Consider the following 24,195-nt stretch of genomic DNA (forward strand, 5'->3'; position numbering starts at 1 on the left):
GAAGTCTGGTTGTATAATAAAGCATTTCTCAAGGCAGAGAAAATAACAAAGTTGACACTGTAAAATTCTGTTTGCATTAAAGATAGACATAAAAAATTCTATAGTAGGATGATGAGAGCAAGATTTGAAAGGAATAACAAACTTCTAGAGCTGTGCTTCCTAATATGGAAGTCATTAGCAACATGGCGATTTTATAAAAATTGAAGAGCTTTATTGAGGTATAATTGACATCAAATAAACTGTATATGTTTAAAGCATACAATTTTGATGACTTTTGACACCACAGTCAAGATAATGAATGTATGCATCACCAGCCCCCACCAAAATTTTCCTTCTGTTGCTTCATAAACCCTTCCTTCTACCCCTCGTCATTGCCTTCCATTCTCAAGCAACTACTGAACTGTTTTCTGTCACTAAAGGTAAATTTGCATTGTTTAGAATTTTATATAAATGAATCACACAATTTTTCCTTTATAAAATGTAGCATTTTTTACTTGATACAACTATTTTGAAACTCATCTACGTTTTTGTTCATGTCGATAGACCATTCCTTTACATGGCTGAGCCGCACTCCGTCATATGAATGTACCACAGTTTGTTTTTCCATCCACCTCTTGATGGACTTTTGTTCTTTCTTTCTTTCATTTTTTGGCAATTATAATGGACACAACTATAAATATCTATGTACAGTCTTATTTTTTAATCTGTTTTGTGTAAAAACTTAGTTGTATACTTGCTGGATCATATGATAAGCAAATGTTTAGCTTCTTTAGAAACTACTGGGCTTTTTTAGGTGGTAGTACCATTTTTCAGTCCCACCACCAAAATATAGGACTTCCAGTTAATCCATACCTTTGTCAACACATGATATGTAAATCTGTTTAATTTCAGCCATTCTGATAGGTTTTGTAGTGGTATCTCATTGTGATTTTAATTTTTTTCCCTAATAAATACTGATATTGAGCATCTTTCCCCGTTCTTGCTAGCCATCAGTTTATCTTCCTTAAAATGTCTACTCAAATATTTTGCACACTTTAAAGTGGATTGTGTGTTCCATTATTATGGGATTTTGAGGTTTTGTGAAATATTCTACATTTAAGCCTTTGCAGATGTGTAATTTGCACATAGTTTTTCCTGGTTTGCAGCCTCTCTTTCCATCCTCTTAACACTGACTAAATAAGTCAAATTTGTAAATTTGTTACCTTATAGATCATGGTTATATTATCACATCTAAGAAATCATTGGCTAACTCAAAACCACAAAAATTTTCTCCTATGTTTTTGTCTAGAGATTTTATAACCTTAAGTTTTGCATTTAGGTCTACAATCCATTTTTATTTAATTTTTGCTCTTGGTACTTGGTAATAGATCAAAAGTAATACTTTTGCATATGAATATGCAATTGTTCCAGCTCCATTTGTTGAAAAGACTACCTTTTCTCCACTAAATTGCCTTTGTAACTTTGCCATAAATCAGTTGATCATATACGTGTGGATTGGTTTCTCTACTCTTTGTTCTATTCCATTGACCTATTTGTCTGCCTTGATTGCTATAGCTTTATGATAAGTGTTGAATTCACATAGTATAAGTCCTCCAATTTTACATCTCTATATAAATTTTAGAACCAGCTTGCCATATTTTTCAAAAACAAAAACAAACACAACACTTACTATCAGGAGCTTTGGCATCTAAACAGTATTGAATCTTATAATCTATGAACACAGTGTATCTCTCCATTTATTTAGGTCTTTTTAATATTCTCAGCAATATTTTCTGCTTTTAATTATACAGGTCTTGCAAATATTTTGTAATATTTATCACTAAATGTTTTGTATTTTTGATACTACTCTATGGAGACATTGTAAATGGGTGTTTTCTAAGCAGAATGTATATAGCAGTACTAGACAAGTAAAATGTACATGATACAATGTTTCATCAATTTAGTCTTCTCAAGGGTCTCTTCTATTTGTTAAAAATATATTTTTTAAAACATTAAAAGAATTTCTTGTATTAATTGTCAAAATAACTTGTCATTATTTTCAAGCCACCTGGGAGTTATGATTTACATAAGAATGGCTCTAAATACATCAACCCTTGTTCAGTGTTAGCGAAACTCTCATATCATGGCATAATAGAAAGTAATCATGTTTGTATGGCATGCTACCATACAGGAGCAGAGCTGGGAAGATTTATGGGATTGCAGAAAATAGATTCATTACATTTCTATTACATAATTAAAATAAAGTGGAAAATATTAGAAAATATATTAAATATTGAATTCCCATGACATTTCCAAATAAGAGCTTCTGTTTTCAAGGTAGTTTACAAGACAATTTTTTTTCTTTTTTTTCCCTTTTTTTTTTTTTTTGAGACGGAGTCTCACTCTGTGATCAGGCTGGAGTGCAATGGTGTGATCTCAGATACTGCAACATCCACCTCCCAGTTCAAGTGATTCTCCTGCCTCAGCCTCCTGAGTAGCTGGGACTACAGGCACACACCACCATGCCCAGCTAATATTTGTATTTTTAGTAGAGACAGGGTTTCACCATGTTGGCCAGGAAGGTCTCAATCTCTTGACCTTTGATCCACCCACCTCGACCTCCCAAAGTGCTGGGATTACAGGAGTGAGCCACCACGCCCGGCCTACAACACAATATTTTATATCTAATAGTACTCTAGATATTTGCATCACAATTGATAAATTATATATAAATAATGATCTGCCTTTGTGTAAGTTTCATTTTTTATGTGTACCTACTTGTGTGTATTAACTATTAAAGAAATTTGATAGCTAGAGTACTAGAGCCATAAAGAGGGGAAGATTTCTGTAGCACTGAATCTATAAGTAGTTCTCTTTGTGTGGAAAGTCAGAGGTGTATAAAATATAGCCAACTACAAAAGGGAAACATGAGCAATGAGAGAAACCTATAGTAAGCATATTTCAGAAGACCTCATCAGGGTACATTAACTGAGAAAGAACTATGTCTTTAGCCATAGTAGTTTAGTTGCCTTAAACAAAAAAGAAAAATAGCATGAGCAATATAAAGACAGCATGCAAATGACAGAATGCTCAAAAAAAATGCATACTACTCAATGACCATTTTGTGAGGGCTTCTGTTTTTCCAATTTTCATTTGGGATATAAAATATTTATCTACTATTTTCAAGTAGGTTTGTCCAATTTAGCTAACTCTCCTCAAAGTATTTGACTCAGTAATGAAACTAAGAGCTTATATTATAAAATTTAAAAATAGATTTATTAAAAATGACTAAATATATAGTGGAATAAACTATGTATATTTAAATAATGAGTTTATAAATTGTATTCAGGAAATGTGTGTACTTCTGTGTAAAATTTGTTGATTCACTGGCATTCTCTTTATTATTTTAAATGAACTATATCTCAACCAGCGGTATACATTTCATTTCTTCCTTCTGTTGTTGTTTTTTTAATAGCTTTTATTTTTTGGAAAAGTTTTAGGTTTATAGAAAAATTGAAGGAAGGAACAGAGACTTCCTCGCATACCCTCTACCACTGTATGTTCATAGCTCCTTAATCAACATCCTCTGCCAGAGGGTACATTTGGTAGAATAGATAAACCTACATTGATACATCATTATCGTTCAAAGTCGGTGGTTTACATTAGGGTTCATTTTGGGGTTGCACATTCTATGAATTTGGACAAATATATAATGAACCTGTGTGCACCGTTAAAGTACCATACGGAGTAGCTTCACTGCCCTAAAGATCATCTTTCTCTCCCCAAACTCCTGATATTTGTAGTTCTTTCAGATTGGCTTCTTTCACTTAGTAATATGCAGTTAAGGTTCCTGCATGTCTTTTCGTGGCTTGATAGCTCCTTTCTTTTTAATACTGAATGATATTCCATTGTCTGAAGGTACCAGTTTTTCTGTCAAGTTTTGGCAATTATGAATAAAGCTACTATAAACATCCATTTATAAAGGAATTTTCAATTCCTTTAGGTAAATACAAAGGAGGATGATCATATGGTAAGGTTATATTTGGTTGTGTGAGAAACTGCCAAACTGTCTCCCAAAGTGGCTGTGCCATTTTGCTTTCCCACCAGCAAGGAATGAGAGTTTCTGTTGCATCCTCATTCATTCCAGCACTTTACCCTTATCTTAAAATGTGTCCATTTTCCTGAAACCAGAGGCATTCTAGATCAATCTCTTCAAAGAAAACCCCCAGTCTACTGCTAGGCATGGCTTAAAAAAATAGGAAGAGCAGCAAATTATAACATTGCTCAAAGAGCTTTTCATTTCATCATCTCTCTAATTTTCTGACTGTGACTCTAAAAATCAGTGTTTGCTTTTTAAATCTTGATAGAATTAAACTTTCTTAAACTTAAGAGCCCAGATTTTTGCTTCAACTTCTCGTGTTTTGCTTTTTTGTTTACTGTTGCTATGGTGATCACACATCAGATCACACACTACTATATACTCCTTTTAGTAATCTATATCAAAATCTCTACATAAGGAGGACTACAATCAACGTATTTATGAGCTCTAACAGCCTTCTTTCAATATGTTATAAATATAGGGACTGTGATAAAGAGTGAGAATGTCTCCAGTAAAGATATCAACAATTTTAATGTGACAATATGTAAGTTGTTAGCTGCTATTAAATAAAAAGAAAACACATTCTATAAGCAAACACACCACATTGACTTTTGTAAGTTAAAAGTGCTAAAATGTATTCTCAATACTTTTCATTAATTATGTGGTTAATTGGAACTTTAAGAAAAATTACATTGAAAAACTGTCTAGTTTCCTGAAAACGCTGATGTTAGAAACAAATAACTCAGGAAGGGAATTGTGTGGTTATGTTTGCATTAGACATCTCATCCCAGGGGCATTATAAACATGTTCAGCAAGTACCATTTCTGTCATGCTAGTGTTACCTTTCACTGTAGTTGAGACATCTGACAAGCAAAGCCTCCATGCTAGACTACACAAACTCTCTAGACACCTTGGGCTTTCAACAATCTTAATCCTGCTTGTTGAATTTCAAAAGAGTTCCAATAAATCAGAAAACCCAGGGGGGTTTTCCCTCTCCCTACACATTACACAAACAAGAATCATATTATTGCTTAGTTAAAAAGGATTAGTGATTATGCCACCTACCTTTATTTTTGTTATTTTTGTTTGAACAATATTTTTATTCTCAAATGAAATAAATTTGAAAATTCTTAGCTCTAAGCAAAACCATATCACAACACAAATAATTCAGTTTTTCATTTGTTTTGATTTAATGCACACAACAATAGTCTGAAAAAATATGATTTGGTTACATTAGAGATTAAAACTGATGCTTTTTCTTTGATACAATTTAGAGTAATATGACTTTGAATAATATCTATATAACACTTCTCTGTCATCTTTCAGCTGATACACCACTACCAATACCCTCATCCAGCTTACTATCACCTTTTGCTTGGATTAAGAAAATGGCATCATAATTAGCCTTCCCACAAATTTCCTCGGATCAATTTTCCATCCTAAGTATCTTTCTAAAATCCAAAACTAATACATCATTCTTCTCCTTGAAACCTCCAATAGCTCCACGTTGCTTTTATAACTGAATTCTTTTAATCTGCCCCTGTGATCTTTATAAAACAGCTAGAGGTCCTCTTTTTGTTGTTAGAGTTGCCTCATTTCTTTCCAGTATGAATTTACATACAGCATATATTATTCCCTATGCTTGGACAAAGCTCTCCTCTCCTTCATTCAATATCATCTTTCTACTCATTCCTTAAAACCTCAGTTTAAATGGCCCATGATAAGGAAAATGTTTCTTAACCTTTGAGACTTTCAACTTCCCAATCATATGATTAAACAATTAATTAATTGCTAGTAATTTCAAATAACTGCTAATAACTGTAACAGTTATTAATATATAACAAGTTGTATATTTGGCTGGTTAATGTCCATCATGCATGCTAAAAATTTCTTTGATGCCAGGTCTTTGTCCGTTTCATCATTGCACCATCACTACCCTGCAGAGTAGAAGCTCTATAAATATTTCTTGAATCTAAAAATGTATACTGTGCACAAATCCAACCTACAGCCATGGCAATATCAGTACTAAACTAGCTTGTAATTATCATTTTTAATGTTCCCAAAGAGCTCTGTCACAGAGTAGTTAGCTGGACCATAATGCATAATTAGTAGTGCTCAAGACACATGCCTTCTACTTCCACCACTATTTAAAAAATAATGCTTCAATAAAATGAGCAAGAGTGACATCAATGAGAGAATAACTTTGAAACCTCTCTAATTTTGCAAAGCTACACAGTCAAAGTACTAAGCACCTTATCATTAGTTAAAAGTAATTTGTTATACACGTCATAATATTATGATTGAGGACCAGCAATGTAGATTATAAATGCTATGAAATGGCTTGCAGAGTAAATCTTGTTTTCAAAATATTTAATAAAAACTATCATAGACTCTTTTTTTAAACACTTAAATTTTGCCCTGAATTCTTTATTGCTACTAGGTAAGAAGAGCAAATAAAAATGACAATATTGCATTTAGCCTGCAAGTTTTACAAATTGAATTTCGTGTATAACTTTGGGAGGTGGCAAATAATATATGACTTTTCTAAGAACCACTGCCCTTAATCTGTTAATACATAAGAGTAAAGGTAAGAGGAAAAAAAGTTAGTAGGTTACAGAGTTCCTCACGAGACTCATAGCAGCAAAAATCAATCCAAGGCAGAACACAAACCACTCGAAGTATTCTAAGAAAAAGAAAATAATATGGAGAACTGGGTGTTACCAAATTGTTGGAAATGCTGAAGTTACCTTAGAATGAATCCCATGATCATGCAAAACTGGCCTACCAGAGATACCTCCGAGGCCATTGAAGGCATCAGTTCATAGACACAAAATGATATCTTCAACCCAGGAAATAAAGAACATACATGAATATGCCACTGACGCTGCATAGCCAACAAACCAAGGCCAGAGGATGAACAATGGAATACTGCCACATATAAAACTCAAATTTTCACAACTCTGCTTACTAGCAGAAAGAGCCAAAGAGATGGGAAAATGGATTCTGCCTCTCTTCTGCGCGTTTAATTGCAAGCAAGAACATCTAAATAATAAATATTTTGCATTTTAAATCTTAAGCATCCACCATAGCTATGAATGGGTGCATATGTGTTTAAGTCTACTAAATGGAGAAAATAGCTCTTCTGGAAAACTGACTTCAAATATTAACAATGTAACCGTTTAAAGGACACCTTACTTAAGCAACCAGGTGAGGATGGCTATACTTCTATGCCAAAAGTACTGTTATTCTTCAGTGGCTTTAGTTCTAAACGTGTGTGTGTGTGTGTGTGTGTGTGTGTGTGTGCATTAGGTGAAGGAATAGTAGGTCTTACAAATTTTATTCTATTCACTACTGATCTGACATTCTCCTTTTAAAATGTCATTACTACATTACTGTCAATGTTATTAATGCCTTATTTAAAGCTGTACTAGCACCTATTATTCTTACCATTTCTAAAGGTATATTATCCACCAGGATGCACACACACAAACAAAAATACATATATTTTAACTATTTCCAATTTTATCTATCCCCACATTAACTAGTGGTCATTATTAATTTCATATAAAAGATAAGGAAACAGAGACAGCAAGCAATTTTCCTGATGACACTCAGGAAAAAGTAAAAAGTGGCCACACAGATTCAAAACTAAATGGATATATCCCTGTTAGGCTAAAATATCACATTCTTAAAACTCAAAGTAGTTTAACATATAATGCTACTGATACCATACCTAATACTATTAAACATAACATGAAAGAAAATTGAGTTAAAGGATATGGAAAGAGACATTTGAGACCTTTATGTATAATACCTAACTAATAAACTTTTCTGAAACTTTTCTGATAGTGAACACAGAAAGGGCTTGTTAGGTTGTGAAGGTTGCAAGTTAGCCTCATAAAATTAAGTGTCATCTGCAGACTAACAATATATGCTACAGAATTAAATATCTTTCTTGGAGAGGTAAAGCCAGAATAAAATGTAATGCAAAAATATTAGCTAAAATGAGTATGAATAAAAAAGAGCTGTGTATTATTGAAAATATCACAATATTTGCACGTGCAATTTAAGTTCAACATATTTAGCTCCATGGAAAAATGTTTATTATATAAAGTTTCAGAGAGAGGAGAAAAATGAACTGGGAATTAGCCCTAACTATTTCACTTAAAAATATTTATTAATATATTCCAGATATTATTTTGAGCACAAAGAGGTAAAAAAGTGGGCAAAAGTAGACATTGCCCCTACCTTCACAAATGTCATATTGGTAAGAAACTAAGATTTTAATTAAATTATCACAAATAAATAGAAAATTATAATTATGGTAAATGTATAAACATAAGGTACACAATTGTGTGAGGCCATATAAAAGACAGCTGACCTCATTTATCCATTTAAGGAGAGTTACTTCAAGACAGATATTTACTTAAAAATTTACTCAGTGAAGCTTTGGTGAAGCAGAAAAGAAATAACTGGTAAAAGAAATAATAAGGAATTCACAACAAAAATTTTAAGGGCCACTTTAACAATATAAAAAATTATTCTTCTATCTTTCTCTATGTGATACAAATAGTTCCTCAGTTGAAGAATGGAGAGTGATTAAAAACACACACACACACTTACCCTTAGATGATATGTATGTAAACAGTCATACATATATCTGCACATATATATGCATTTAAAATGGAATAATAGTCAAAACATGAATGTGGGTAAATTGTCATTATTGTTCTTTGCTTCCATATTTCTGAGAAATATGCTTCCATATTTCTGAGAAAATGCAATAAGTGGTAGATATTATTTCAAAGTTCAAGAAGCTTGGAGGGAAAGAATTATGGCTTTGCAGTCTTAATAGTAAACAATAGCTCCAAAAAGTGGCCAAAGAGGATTTTAGTCTTATATGTATATATAAAGTATATATTTAGTCATATATATATACACAAATAAATATACATCACTTACATAATTAATATGTAATATTAACTATATATGTGGCATATATTTGTTTATTTTTTATATATTTGTTTTTTTAAAAATTAATGTAATTAATTTAATAACTCAAAATAGGCTGGAGTGCAGTGGCACACTTTCAGCTCACTGAATCCTCTGCCTCCTGGGTTCACTATTCTCCTGCTTCACACCCCCAAGTAGCTGTGACTACAGGGTCACACCACACCCGGCTACTTTTTGTATTTTGGCTAATTTTTGTATTTTTAGTGGAGACACAGTTTTGCCATATGCCTGGACTTGTCTTGAATGCCTGGACTCAAGTGACCCTCCTGCCTCAACCTCCCAAAGTGCTCAGATTAAAGGCATGAGCTACTGCATCTGAACAGAGCTTAATATTTTTTAAATATCCATTTTATTGAAAAAATTATTGAGTAATGCTTGGAAAGATAAATCTGGCTACCTATTAAATATTGATTACTTCATGCTTTAATAAATATTTTATGATGCACATGAAGTAATAAATGAAGTTTCAACTTGTTGAAGTCAAATTACTAATTATTGCATTAATATTTTATATATTCCTATAAATTTTTGCCACACTCCCATGTATGTGATTGCCTCTGTTCACAGCCCAGGTTTAATTAAAGAATTCAAGACTTGTTTATAAGGCTATACAATTTTCAGTTTTATAAACTTCCACTTTTCCAGTGAATGGTTGTGACAGAAAAAATGTATGATAGAGACTTTGCAACCTGAGACACATGCACAATTTTTGAACACCACTAACTTCTTGAGCAAATCATCTATTTTATCTCAGCTACATTTTTGCATCTGAAGAATAGACATTCTAACACTAAACTTCAGGGTTGTTTGGGGGATAAAGAAGCTTTTAAATTACCTGCCATCCTTGAAGCGCTTACTGAATTTGCCACAATAGATGCAATATGGTGAAAAGAGAATTAGATGGGAGATAATATGATTTTGGTTTAAGTCCTAACAAAACAATCATTAGCTATTTGATTCTTATATATGACACCTTCTGAGAGCCTGTTTCTTATTTGCTAAATGGAAAGAATAAAACTTGTCCTGCAGTTTTGTGAGCATCAAATGAAATACTATATGAGAAAAAGCAGCAAAACTAAGCGGATGCAGTCAATGCTTTTCACACGTGGTCCTATGAGAGCTATTCTCATGCTGTTGTGTTAAGTATGCATTGCTTAGCCAAGGAAATAACCAAAAAGCAATAGATAAGCTAGGACTACTTGATAAGACTCCAAGTATTTCTGGACAAAAATCACTTCCACTAATTTCTTCTCCCTCACCTAACATAGCTCATGACTTTATCCTTGTTTAAAATCAACCCCCATAGGAAGGAAAGAAGTGGCATCCAAAGAAACTCACGTAATATTTTGCACTGGGGTCAGTTTTTACTGGTTATTCACTGACGTGAGAGTGTTATGTTCATTTGCTATTCTTATGATTAGGTCCTATTACTTTATCTACTAAAATGAGAATTTTCATTCTGTCAACAGGATGATGATAATTTCATTTCAATCTTCATTTTTATCAATTTTAAAGGCAAGTGGAATACATGTAAATATGTTTTACTTTCAAAAACAAAAGACATGAGTACAGTTGATATACTGCATAAAACAGTAAAGTTTTGTGTTTATATTATTTAGATATATCACTTTTAAAATGATATTTGAAATCTGTGTGAAAATTACAAGAGAAAATGATGAGGAAAGCAAGTGAAAATAACTGCATTGTTCTAAATTGTAATTTAAATAAACATAATTTTTCTGAGTTTTAAATATTTTATATACCTATTTGATGTAGCATATGATTAAATGATAACAGAACTCTTTGCTCCATCTTATTTCAAATTACTACTTTGATACATACACAATTGTGCATTCATGCACACATCACACACAATATCAAATAACTGTCATTGTCATTATATGTAATATAATCTACTGGCAATGCTTGTCTATTTAAGACTACATTTTTTTAAAAAAAGCATACAGCCCTTGTTTCTCTTTCTCTGAAGATTATAATGTTGCTTGAAATATGCCAGCAATTTCAACTTTGTGTTAAAAATAGGAAGAAAAGAAGAAAGCAGAAGAAAAAGAAATTTGGAAGACAAGAGATTTAACCGAAAAAGAAACTACAAATTTCTGACTCCATTATATGTGCTAAAAATCCCTGTTGTACATACTTTATACATTGAGATTTATTAATATTCAGGATGCCTAAATGGAAGTAGATATGCATAGTAAAATTTAAGAATAGGATATTTATAAAAAAAGAATCCTCCAGTGACTTGACACAGTTTCACATTTTATCCTTGACCAAAATGAATGAACATCAGTTTTCCTGGGCATTATAACTGATTAATGCTAGATCAATTGCAGCAAGATACAGAATACATGAAGATGCCATTTCAAATGGCATCAGGATAATTATTCGCAAAGTGTCCTTTTTAATAAATGGTTTATGATATCTATTACCTCATGTTTTGCTAGTGTGACTTTTAAAAATATTATTTCATTAAAGATTAGGGAGAAAGCAAAAGACTGAAAAATTGAACTCAAGGGTTTGAAATAAATTTCCTATCTGTCAGAGCTAATACATGAAGAATTAAGTAAACTATGTTTACACTGCAATATAATTCAAATAAATTATTTTAACTGTTTTGTATTACTCATATGTATCCATGTGAATTTGATTTGTTTACATAAAATTTTAAGCCTAATTTTTAAAGCTACAGGTAAAATTTAATGCACAATTTTTACTGGATACTATATACATACATATATATATCTCTTTTTAATAATATTTTATTGGCCTCTGTGGAATAAATTTTAAATTTAATTAAGTAAAAAGGTAAATACTGTCACATTGTAAAAATAAGTCCCAAACCTTCATAATTACTTATCTAGTAAAACAAGAACTGTAAAATCTGAAGACTCGACAAATATTTTCTGATACTTTTTCTGTTTTTCTCATGATTCTTGTTACTGAATATAATAAAAACAAAAAAAGCCTCAATAATTTCATAATTTATTAAATGAATTACACTCTCTTGCAAATATCAAATATCAAAGTGATCAGAGAATGAAGTCAGCATTATGAACTATGACTCAGCATTATGAAGAACATTCTCAGTTGACAGAGAGGAAGGAGCAAGTAAGTACACTGGGTGTGGAAAGTGAGGTGAGAGAACTGAGGAGGAAAATATTGAAGAAAACTTGGCTGAAACCTGAACGTGCTAGAGGAAAGATACTAGGCTACGGTGTCAGAAATACTGATATATTGGCTATGACATAGCAATCTGGGATTTAATTCACTCATTCTAATGTACTTTATGCACTTATGAGGGTAAAAATACCTTCTTTCCAAAGATAGTAAATTAAATTTGGAATTGTATGCAGTTCGCTTGACACATACACAAGCTCAGTAATTTTTAGCTACTAATTGTATTCATAAAGAAAATAATATATGAGCTCATCCTAGACAATGACTACCATTTCTTCAGATGGAGTATGGAGAATGCTAATTTCAGTTCAAAGAAAATACAAAAAACAGATTTAAATGAAAGTGTAGTATACATGAGTAATATTAAATATTCTATAATGGCTAAAAGCCGTACAAATAGAGAAGTGGATGATAAGGCTGGAGAAGCAGACTTTGTCCTGATAATAAAATTATGTAAATTATCTGCTCATAAATGTGGACTGGATTGTGTAGACAATGGGGACCCACAGTGAGCGATGGAGGTCTGAAGTGGGCAGTAATAGTGATAAGTTATATGTAAATAAATCTTAATTGTGATTAATCACAACCTGAGCAATACTGCCAGATTATGATTGACCTGTCTATCTTACACATGGAATAAAGATGCAAAACAGTTCAGCCAGTGCCACGATACTTCCAGTGATATACACCCTCCTAGCAATTTTCTCTTCTTTTTTAAAACTATAAAATATTACAGACGTAAAAACATCAGAGAAAATAATATAACTGAAACCCATGTAAGTACCAAGCTGTAATACATGTGAACATATTGTCATCTTTACTTCATACTTTTTAAAAAGCAAAATTTTTTGTACAAATTAGAAATTCCAGAGATTGACTTTAGGTATGACAACATGAAAAGCTCCACTGACACAATCCCCAGGGAAATTGGGAGACATTATTTTTCAAAAACTAATCCAACCATTTAAACCTTCTGGAGTTGATCCTGAGAGGACCAAGTACAAGAAGAAACACGTATTCAAGAAAATCTACAAAAATTGGTTAGGAAGGGTGATAAGACAGAACTTGAACCTATACCAGTCCCTCCCTCCTTTCCAGCTCAGTGAAGCAGACCCCTCTCCAGACTGCAGTAGCCAAAAACACAGGGCTCCCTCATCCTCCCACTCCCCACCCTAGCTCTCAGTTGGAGAATTTCCTTCTCCAGAGGATAAGGACTTTAGCATTTTTTATCCTACTCCCAGCTTCTGGCTGCTGAGGCTAAATCCCAGGTGTCTGTGATCAAGAGAAAGTTGGAGTGGCTGTACTAACAGATTTTAAAACAAAGACAATAGATTTTAAAGCAAAAAATATTACCAGAGTTAAAGAATATTTTATAATTATAAAGGGTCAGTATATCAAAAAGGTATAATGATTACAAATACAGGGGCTCCCTGACTTATAATGAGGATATGTCCTGTTAAACCCGAGATAAAACCCCATACTGTAGGTTGAAAATGCATTTAATACCTCGATGAACCCATAGTTAAGTTGAAAAGTCACAGGTCAAGCCACCATAAGTTGGAGACCATCTGGATATAGATAGCTGATGACCAAGTACAAAAGATGCATAAAGTCACAGTAATCATACAGGGTGGTATTGACATAAAGACAGATACATAGATGAATGGAAGAGATTAGACAGCCACATATATATGGACAACAGATTTTCTACAAAGGCAATTTAGTTGGGAAAATTCTTTCAAAACTGTGAAAGAATTATTGAAATAACTTATACAAAATAAAAAAAAATTTAAATTAACTTTGATCCAAATCTCATGTCATATACAATAATTAACTCAACTGATGATATGCCTACATGTGAAATGTAAAGCTTTAAAATTTCTGGACTAGGCAAAGATTGCTGGAATACAATACTGTAAACCAAAAATAAATCTCTAATCCCCCCAAGTGACTGAATGGATAACCCTCTCAGCCAAGAGGATTCCAAAAACTTTTGAAAAATTAGTTCAGGCCCTTGCAGAAAGTGAAGAAGGTTAGACATGACTCATTTTACCCTCCTCCCTTTGGAGTTTAGACACAGCTGACCTGCTGGGTCTGACCCTCAGACCCTGGCTGAGCAATGGTTGAACGGAGTACTCAGACACAGGTTTTTTGCCTGGCCGCGCGGCTAGGGGACTGGGCTGCTCACAGACACTTCAAATCTTCAAGCAGAGCTTAACTCTTTCACCAATTGCAAGTCAGAAAATTGTTCAATCTACCTATGATATCCCGCCTTTCTGGGCTGAACCAATGTGTAACTAACATTGATTTATGTCCTTGCCTATAACTTCTGTCTCCTGAAAATGTACAAAATTATGCTGGAACCCAACTACCTTAGGCATATGTTCTCAGGACCTCCTGAGCTGTGTCACAGGCTACGGTCCTTAACCTTGGCAAAATAAACCTCTAAATTGATTGAGACTTGTTTCACATATGTTTTTGGTTTACAGTACCAAAGAACAACCCATTTCTATTCAGATGATACATTACAGCTCACTAATATGAAAAAATTCTGATCTTCAAAAACCCCTGTTAAGGGACTGAAAAGACAAGTCATATACTAGAAGATAATATTTGCAAAAAATATATCACATGTATTTATAGAGCATATATACCATGAAGGGCTTGAATCAAAATAATCTAACAATCTTTCCAAATTCAATGATTAAAAACAAACGACCCAACATAAAACGGGCCAACGCTTTGAACAGCGCTTTTAAAATTAACCTAAGTAGATGCTGAATGAACATAGGAAAAGGTGTTTCTTCATAGTCATTAGAAAAATGCAAAAATTAAAACCACGAGATACAACTACATATGTTTTACAAAAGGTAAATTAAAAGACTGACTATTCCAAACAAACAAACAAAAATGACTAATAGTGTCAGAGACATGTAAACCAGAACAACTCCATCTTGAATGGCACTAGGTAAAATAAGGCTGAGACCTACTGGGCTGCATTCCCAGATGGTTAAGGCATTCTAAGTCACAGGATGAGATAGGAGGTCAGCACAAGATACAGATCGTAAAGACCTTACTGACAAAACAGGTAGCAATAAAGAAACTGGCCAAAACCCACCAAAACCAAGATGGCGACGAGAGTGACCTCAGGTCATTTTCACTGCTACACTCCCACCAACACCATGACAGTTTACAAATGCCATGGCAACATCAGGAAGTTACCCTATATGGTCTAGAAGAGGGAGGCATGAATAATCCACCCCTCATTTAGCATATTATCAAGAAATAACTGTAAAAATCAACAACCAGGAGACCTCGGGGCTGCACTGTCTACGGAGTAGCCATTCTTTTATTCCTTTACTTTCTTAATAAACTTGCTTTCACTTTACTCTACAGGCTTGCTCTGAGTTTTTCTTGTGCGACATCCAAGAACCATATCTCGGGGTCTGCATCAGAACCCCTTTCCTGTAACAATAGGCTGCAATTAAACTAAAGAACTTCTGCATAGCAAGAGAAACTATCAAATGAGTAAACAGACAACCTATTGAGTGGGAGAAAATATTCACAAACTATGCATCCAACAAAGGCTTATTACCCAGATTATATAAGGAACTTAAATCAACAAGGAAAAAACAAAGTCGTCAAAGAACATGAACAGACACTTCTCACAAGAAGACATATAAGCATCCAATAAACATGCAACAATGCTCTTCATCACTAATCATCGGAGAAATGCAAATCAAAATCACAATGAGACACCTCTCATATGAGTCAGAATGGCTATTATTTAAAAAATACAGATAGCTATTATTAAAAAAATAACAGATGCTGGTAAGGCTGTGAAGAAAAGGAATACTTATTAACTGTTGGTGGCAAAGTAAATTAATTCAGCCACTGTGGAAAGCAGTTTGGAGATTTCTTGAAGAACCGAGAGTTGAACTAACATTCACCTCAGCAATTCCACTATTGGGTATATATATCCAAAGAAAAAAAGTTTCGACCAAAACTACACATGTACTCATATGTTCATTGCAGCATTATTCACAATAACAAAGACATGGAATCAACCCAGGTACCCATCAGGAGTAGATCTGATAAAGAAAATGTGGTACATATATACCATTGGATATTATGTAGGCATATAAAAGAATGAAATCGTGATCTTTGCAGCAACATGGATGCAGTTGGAAACCATTATCCTCAGCAAACTAATGTAGGAACAGAAAATCAAATACTGCGTGTTCTCGCTTGTAAGGGCGAACTACACACTGGGTACACATGGTCATAAAAATGAGAACAACAGAGATTGGAGAATGTCATAGGGGAGAGCGAGAGAGGGGGTTAAGTGTTGAAAAAAACTACCTATTGGGTATTATGCTCACTACCTGTGTGACAGATTCATTTATACTCCAAACTTCAGAATCATGTAATGTATCCTTGTAACACACCTGCATGTGTTCTTCCTGATTCTAAAATAAAAGTTGAAAAAAAATATTTTTAAACCCGATCATTTCAAATCCTGGCAAGGAGGTTGAGGAACTGGAACTTTCATATACTGCTGGGAGGAAAGTAAAGTGGTACAACAGCTTTAGAAAACCATTTTGCAGTTTCATTAAAAGTTAAAAATATGCCTACTCTGATCCAGCCATCTCATTTGTATGCAAACATTTATACAGCTTTTTCATAGCCAAAACCTTGAAACAACTGAAATTTCCATCACCAGGTGAATGAAAAAGCAAACTGTGTTATGTACATACAAAATATTCCTCAGCAATAAATAGTAATCTTCTCTTGATATGTATTACAGCATGAATGAGTCTCAACATAATTTTGTTGAAAGAAGCCAGATAATTAAGAACATACAGTATGATTTAATTTACAAAAATATCTTGACAATGTGAAATAGTCCACAGTGAGAGAAAGCCCGTAGATCAGTTATTGCTTAGGGGTTGGAATAGGGAAGAATGGAGTACAAAGAGGCACCAGGAAAGTTTGCCTGTGACGTACATATTCATTATCTTGAACATGGTGATGGTTTCCCAGGTATACACATACGTCGAATTTTATCAAGTTGTTTGTTGTAATTATGTGCAACCTGTTATATGCCAAGTATACCTCAATTTAACCTTTAAAAAATACTTTAAAAATCTATATCCAAAGCTGCCTTAAACACACACACACAAACACACACACACACACACACACACACACATTCACATGTCTGTTGCCCCTGAAATAACATTAGAGGGGAAATTGATAATTGAAAAATAAATTTATTCCATGCCCTAACTTTTAGAACAAATTGTTGCTCATGCTGTGACCTCTGAAATCTTCAATTACTTATTAGTAACTGAATTTTACCTCTGAGTTTCTTTACAGAGTTTGCCCAAGAACTCTTATCAATTTCTGAGCAAAAGGTCAGAATGTTCTGCCATATAATATGGTTTTTCATTATTTCCCTATAAACTATGACATTTTCAAAATGTCAGCATTGGAGAAAGCTTGAGTGCTCTTCCATTCTTTCTTCTTGATACATACTAGGAAACATGTAACATGAAAATTATATGAAATAAGTGTCTGTTGTGATGTGTAATGAGTGGTGATAAATAAGAGTAGTAGAGAAGATTTTAAAAAGACACTCTTACAGAATTTAAAGTCAGATTGAAGTACCTTTCTAAGACACCTAAGAATATAAACTGTAAGAATATTAATCAATCACATTTACAACATTAAAATATCTTCTAATTAGTTTTTGTGGTGTCTGAATCCAAATAATAAGCCAGTGAAATTAATATGTAGTCTTAAAATGAAGAAAATAGGAGTCAATAAGATATAGAGTATAACTTTGGAATAACTAAATAAGAATAGATAACACTCCCAACATAGTAAAAATGGTTTTAAATGCTTCTTTTAACAAAATTGAAATTTCATTATCTTAGTAGCTAACTAAAAGTTTTTAACATACTCTATTGATTGTAAAGTACTCTATTCTGATTTTCACTCAGTACAAGGTTTAGAAGTCAAATTATTTTAATTAATTGCATATATACTCCAAAGACAACTAGTAGGATATACTACATACTTTTTCACTGGAACTGGCACTTACATTTTCTAAGACCTCTGGTTTCCAGTTAGCTGTAACTCAGGATTTCCTATATTAAATCCTATTCAGTTTAATTTATTTATTATTAACACTGGATTTTTGGAAATGTATGATGAAAACAAAATCATATTTTATTATTGTCAAAAGTATTTTCATGCTGGCAGAGTAGGAGAACCTGTGTGAATTTGAAAAAGCTCCCTTTCCCACTTGTCATTAATTTCCCATGGTATTATATCTATAGAAGTACTCATTAGAAGGACACAGTTATTTTTAGAAAAAAGAAAAAAAAGGCCTGGTTTGGTTTTCAGAAAGTTGTAGTCCTCATTTTATTGTTTGTCTTTTCTTCTACCAATAACTTTTCTAATTAAGGCAATTGCTGTGATTGCCTATTGAATAAGTGGGATCTAAAGTTGAATTGATATTGCTGTTGATTTTTTTAATTTTAAAAATTAGATAGGGTGATCAGTATTTATATATTAATTATAATCATTATAATTAGCTGTACAAATGAGCACCCAGGACTCTACATTGTATTCATACAATACCTGAGCTATGTGATGTAAAAAAAGGCAAGATATGAAGAGAAAAACAGACTTCACCTTCTATTAATTATTTATTACGAGAGTTGATTCAACTGGGATTCCTAATTTTTATCATAATGGAGGAACCGGGAAAAGACATGCCTCCTTCTATAAACTACTATGAAACTGGAAATATTTGAGACAACAAAAATTAAAATGCAGGCATATGATTTTTGAAAAAGGAAAACATATCATTTTATACCTGTTTCTGGACTGGATTCCAGCCTGGGGGCACTTTTCACTGCACAGTGGAGAGAGAATGAATCCAAAAGAGACAACAGTCTCACTACACTGCTGGTGCAAGTTTCAAGCTTGGAGAAGAGGCGAGGATTTCAGGGTCTAAAAGGGAAAAAGCTGTGCATAGGAGCAATAGCAGACATTTGCATGGAGTCTTTAAATAAAGGCTGGGCTGTAATATGCACAGCTAGAGTCCATGAGCACTAACTGAGAACGGCTGCTGTGGGTTTGGAAGGCAAACATAGGTATGAGAACTTTCTCAGTACAGATGTATATAATTGGGAGGCTCTGGTAAACCTTGAAAGACTACACTTAAAGAGTAAGGGCAATTCTTAGGACAAAACTAAAACAGATCTGTCCTAATAAAAAATAAAATTAAGCCTGATAGAATCAAGAGGATGCCTCATAATTAAACTGCCTGCCATAACAAATCACCATACCTTTTACAGAAAAACAATAGAATTCAGATATTGCAAGTGTCACCCATGATGTCCAATATACAATAAAAATTTACAATCTATGTAAAGAAGAAGAAAAATATAGCCCATGATCAAGATAAAAAAAAAATCAAAAGAGACACCAAGGTAAAAAGATGTTGGAATTAGCAGGGACAAGGGTTTTGTTGTTGTTGTTGTTGTTGTTTTTAAGTTGCTAAACATATATCAAAGGACTGCAAGGCAGAAAATGGATAAAGTGAATGAAAATGTGGGAAGTCTTGAGAAATGGGAAGTTATGAAGAAATGGATGGAAATTCTGTAACTTAAAAGTACATGATCCGAAATGAAAAGTAGCCTGGATTGAAATAACAGCATTAAACACCTACAAAAGAAAAATTGATGAACTTGAAGAAAAATTAATAAACATTATTCAATCTAAAGAATAAATAAAAATATTAAAACTGTATCAAAGACCTCAGATAGCTGAGGGCAGTATGAAGTAATAGTAAAATATATGACCAAAAAAGGGAAGGATAATAACTTTGTTAAATTTCTTTAAGTTGGCTGGGCATGGTGGCTCACGCCTGTAATCCTAGCACTTTGGGAGGCTGGGGCAGACAGACAACCTTAGGTCAGGAGTTCGAAACCAGCCATGCCAACATGGCAAAACCCCATCTTTACTGAAAATACAAAAAATAGCCAGGCGTGGTGGCATGGGTCTGTAATCCCAGCTATTTGGGAGGCTCAGATAGGAGAATCGTTTGAACTTGGGACGTGGGAGTTGCAGTGAGCTGAGATTGTGCCACTGCACTCCAGCCTGGGTGAAAGAATGAGACTCCATCTCAAAAAAAAAAAAAAAAAGTTTCTTTAAGTCACATTTTACACGAAATGGGGACACAATAACAACTTAAACAGATTCTAACAATTTGAAAATATCTATTGCAATCTCTTGAAAAGCAAATAAAAAATATACAAGGGACATAGCTATAGGACAAATAAAAGAAATAAAGTGAAACAATACATTAATGTTAAAGTACTTTACTGATTCAAAAGAAAGCAGGAATAAAATAAAAAATAACACAAAAAAGAGATGAAATACAAAACAAGTAACAAAATAATAGGCATAAGTCCAAACACATGAATAATTGCACTAAACACAAATGGACTAACTATTCAAATTAAAAGGAAATTATTGCCGTACTGGATTAAAAAAACAACACCCAACTATTTCCGCCTTTAAAAATACACTTTAAAATAAAAGCACAGGCCAGCCATGGTGGCTCATGCCTGTAATCCCAGCACTTTAGGGGGCCAAGGCAGGTGTATCACTTGAGGTTGGGAGTTTGAGACCAGCCTGGCCAACATTGTGAAACCCTCTCTCCACTAAAAATATAAAAGTTATACAGGCCTCACAGTGCACGCCTGTAATCCCAGCTACTCGGGAGGCTGAGGCAGGAGAATTACTTGAACCCGGAGGCAGAGGTTGCAGTGAGCTGAGATTGCACCACTGCACTCCAGCCTGGGTGACAGAGTGAGACTGTGTCTCAAAAAATAAATAAATAAAATAAAAAATAAAAACCCAGATTCATTGAAATAAAAGAATGTAAAACAATATACCATCCCAATAGTAAGCATGAGAAAGCTTATATGGCTATATTAAGATCAGGCAACATAAACTTGAAAACAAAAGTTAATAGCAGGGAAACATTTCATAATTGTGAAAAAAATCATTTATCAGGAAGTTGTAATAAACATTCACATATATGTATCTAATCACAGAGCTGCAAAATACACAAGGAAAACCTGGCCAAACTAAATGAAGAAATAATTCACAATCATAGTTAGATATTTTAATACCTCTTAGTAGTTGAAATCAAAGTGACAAAATATCCATAAGTATACAAATCTGAACAACCTAATCTGAGCTAATTGCTATTTACAAAATTTTATGTCCAACAAGATTGAGAATTGAATCGTTCTATATCTGTCTTTTTAAATTAAATTTGTAAATAAATGCCTTAAAATAACTTGAATGCCAGTTGATTTACTGGTAAATTATATCAAATTATAGCCAACATTAAGGATTTATGTCAAACATTTGAAGAAGAAATAATGGTGATATTAAAGATATATTTACCTAATCTGTTCTACTTGACACATCACAATTTTCTCCCATTCAATTTCATACGTAATCCTTTCTGACTTCTTCTTGATGTAAAAGGAAATCACAAATCATAAATGCAATTATAAAGACATGTATCTTGTAGCATAAACTGGCTAGTTATTTCCCAACATTTATTTCATCTCGACGCACTGTTAGATCTTCTTGCCCAGGCCTCTTACCCATCAGACGTGATTGTTCTCAACGAGGGAATGAAAATGAAATTGATGCGTGTCAACACCGGGCAAAAGTAATTGAGAACATGTGTATTTTCACCACAGTCTGAATTTCACTTCTCTGCTAGGCGGATTTAGAGAACTGAGCCCTTAAGACGTGTGGAACCATAGGTACAAGGAGCCTGGATCCATGATACCTGCATGAAGCAGCCCTAACCGGAAAACACCTACTCCAATGAGGCATTAGTTTACTAATGACCAGTGACGTGAGTAAGAAATCAACCTTAATTATGGTAAGTTACTGAGATTTTAGGTTTGTTTTTATAGCAGTTAGTCCACCCTAACTAAAAACATTTTCAATTTTTAAATCATCAAGCCAAACATTATAGCTAAACAGACACTTAAGAAATATAATATTTCATAATTATTAAATTGCAGAAAGTTTACTCACTTAGTATGACCTTCAGCTATTTAGATCAACATTTGGCTTCAGCTTCTCTTATTTCTACTGGTTTCACTTCAGCTAAAACAAACTACTTTACTTGGCATTGGTAAATTCACAGAAATTACACTTTTATTATTCAGAGGCCACACGATAGCTATTCACAGAATCACTGATATCTTCTCGTTCATTTAGACTCAGGTTTTTCTATGCACACAATAACCCTCTATTGAATCGTAAGCAGACATGTCATCTTATAGTAACGATTGCTCTTAGAAGAGGAAGGTTATTTCTAAACACAGCTGAGTTGATGACTAGTTGAAAGCACACAAACTTGAAGTGATAGGAGACATACATTAATCAATAGATTTATATTAATTAAGAGTTAAATAATCAGACAGTATAATATGGTAGACAAATACCCTGATCTTGCATTGTGAGAATTAACTTATAATTCTAGCTTTCCTATTAAAACTATTTCCTCAGGCAAGTCTTCCTAATACAGGAGCCTTAAGTTTCTTCACCACATGATAGCAGCTAGTAGATAATATTTATTGAGATCCAGTGCTAGGTAACAAATTAGCCCAAAACTTCGGGCTTAAAACAACAAACATTAATCATCCCAGAGTTTCCACAGAACAGGAACCCATGCCACATGGCACAGACCTGACAGAGAGAACAGCAGCTGCTGTGTAAAGGAAGCCTTATCTACTTCATTTTTTCCTGTCTCTTCTACAAATTAAATCCTTCAATTTTTGGAGAAAGACAACAAACATCTATGATTTCTTTCAGCAACGTTTTGTAGTTCTCCTTGTAGAAATCTTTCATGAATCTAAAGTAAAAGTTCAAATTATATATATATATTTTTTTAAAAAAAGGCAACAAAAACTGTCACCCATATTCCATCACTGAAAGCTCACTACATCTACAGAAAGTTAATAGGAAAATAAAATCTACTCCTGGAACTGTGGCAGGCATATATGTTGGCCCAGTAGACTGACTAACTGGGGCTGAAACAGTGTTACTGAGAAGTCCCCACCCCTACTACTGGAACTTAATCAGAATGAAAGAGAGTGCCATCTGCCTAGGTAACCAGCTAACAAATTGACTACGGCAGGGAATGTGGCAAGAACTTGGAGAGTATGCTGTCTGAGGTGAAGCAGAAAGGAAACCTCTAAAGATGAGGATGGAACAGATATCGAGAAACTCCCCCTGACAAAGCTTTTCTCACACTAAAAATAAGGTAATACTTGAGGTATCTGAGGCCTATGTACACTAAAGATAACAACAGCAACAGCGAATCTCAAATCCAGCTCACTGTGTCACTAGATTTACTCTTTCCCCTGGCCTTCACATTAAGGGTTCAGCTGAAGGAAAGGCAGGCCCATTTCCAGGTATAAAGCTGCTTATCTTGGTCTCCAATATCCTACACAAAATAGATTTCCACTAGAAAAAAAAAAAAGGAGTGTAAAGAAACAAGGCAATCAAGAGGACAATAGCCATATATGATTCAGATGCTACAATATCAAACAGTGATTTTAGGTTAACTATGATTGCTATGTGAAGTGCTCTGGTGGAGAGTATGCATAATCTGGTGGGTTATTTTAGCAGAGAGATGAAAGCTATAAGACATAATCAAATGAAAATGTGAGAAATAAAATATATATAATAGCAGGTAAGAAAAGTGCTTTTTTTTTTTTTGAGACAGAATTTCATTGTTGTCGCCCAGGCTGGAGTGCAATGGCATGATCTCGGCTCATTGCAACCTC

General features: G+C 33.6%; 1 long non-coding RNA gene across 1 annotated transcript in view; it reads right to left on the reverse strand.

Annotated features, from left to right (window-relative positions):
* LINC01724 (long intergenic non-protein coding RNA 1724) overlaps nt 1–21,997 on the reverse strand; it is a 43,836-nt gene extending 21,839 nt beyond the window's left edge. The window contains exon 1 of the long non-coding RNA NR_146895.1: nt 21,785–21,997. This is a non-coding gene — a long non-coding RNA (long intergenic non-protein coding RNA 1724). The remainder of the gene's footprint in view (nt 1–21,784) is intronic.
* Between the last annotated feature and the right edge of the window lie 2,198 nt (nt 21,998–24,195).

This window comes from Homo sapiens, chromosome 1 (assembly GCF_000001405.40).
Source record: "Homo sapiens chromosome 1, GRCh38.p14 Primary Assembly".
Taxonomy (NCBI): Eukaryota; Metazoa; Chordata; class Mammalia; order Primates; family Hominidae; genus Homo; species Homo sapiens.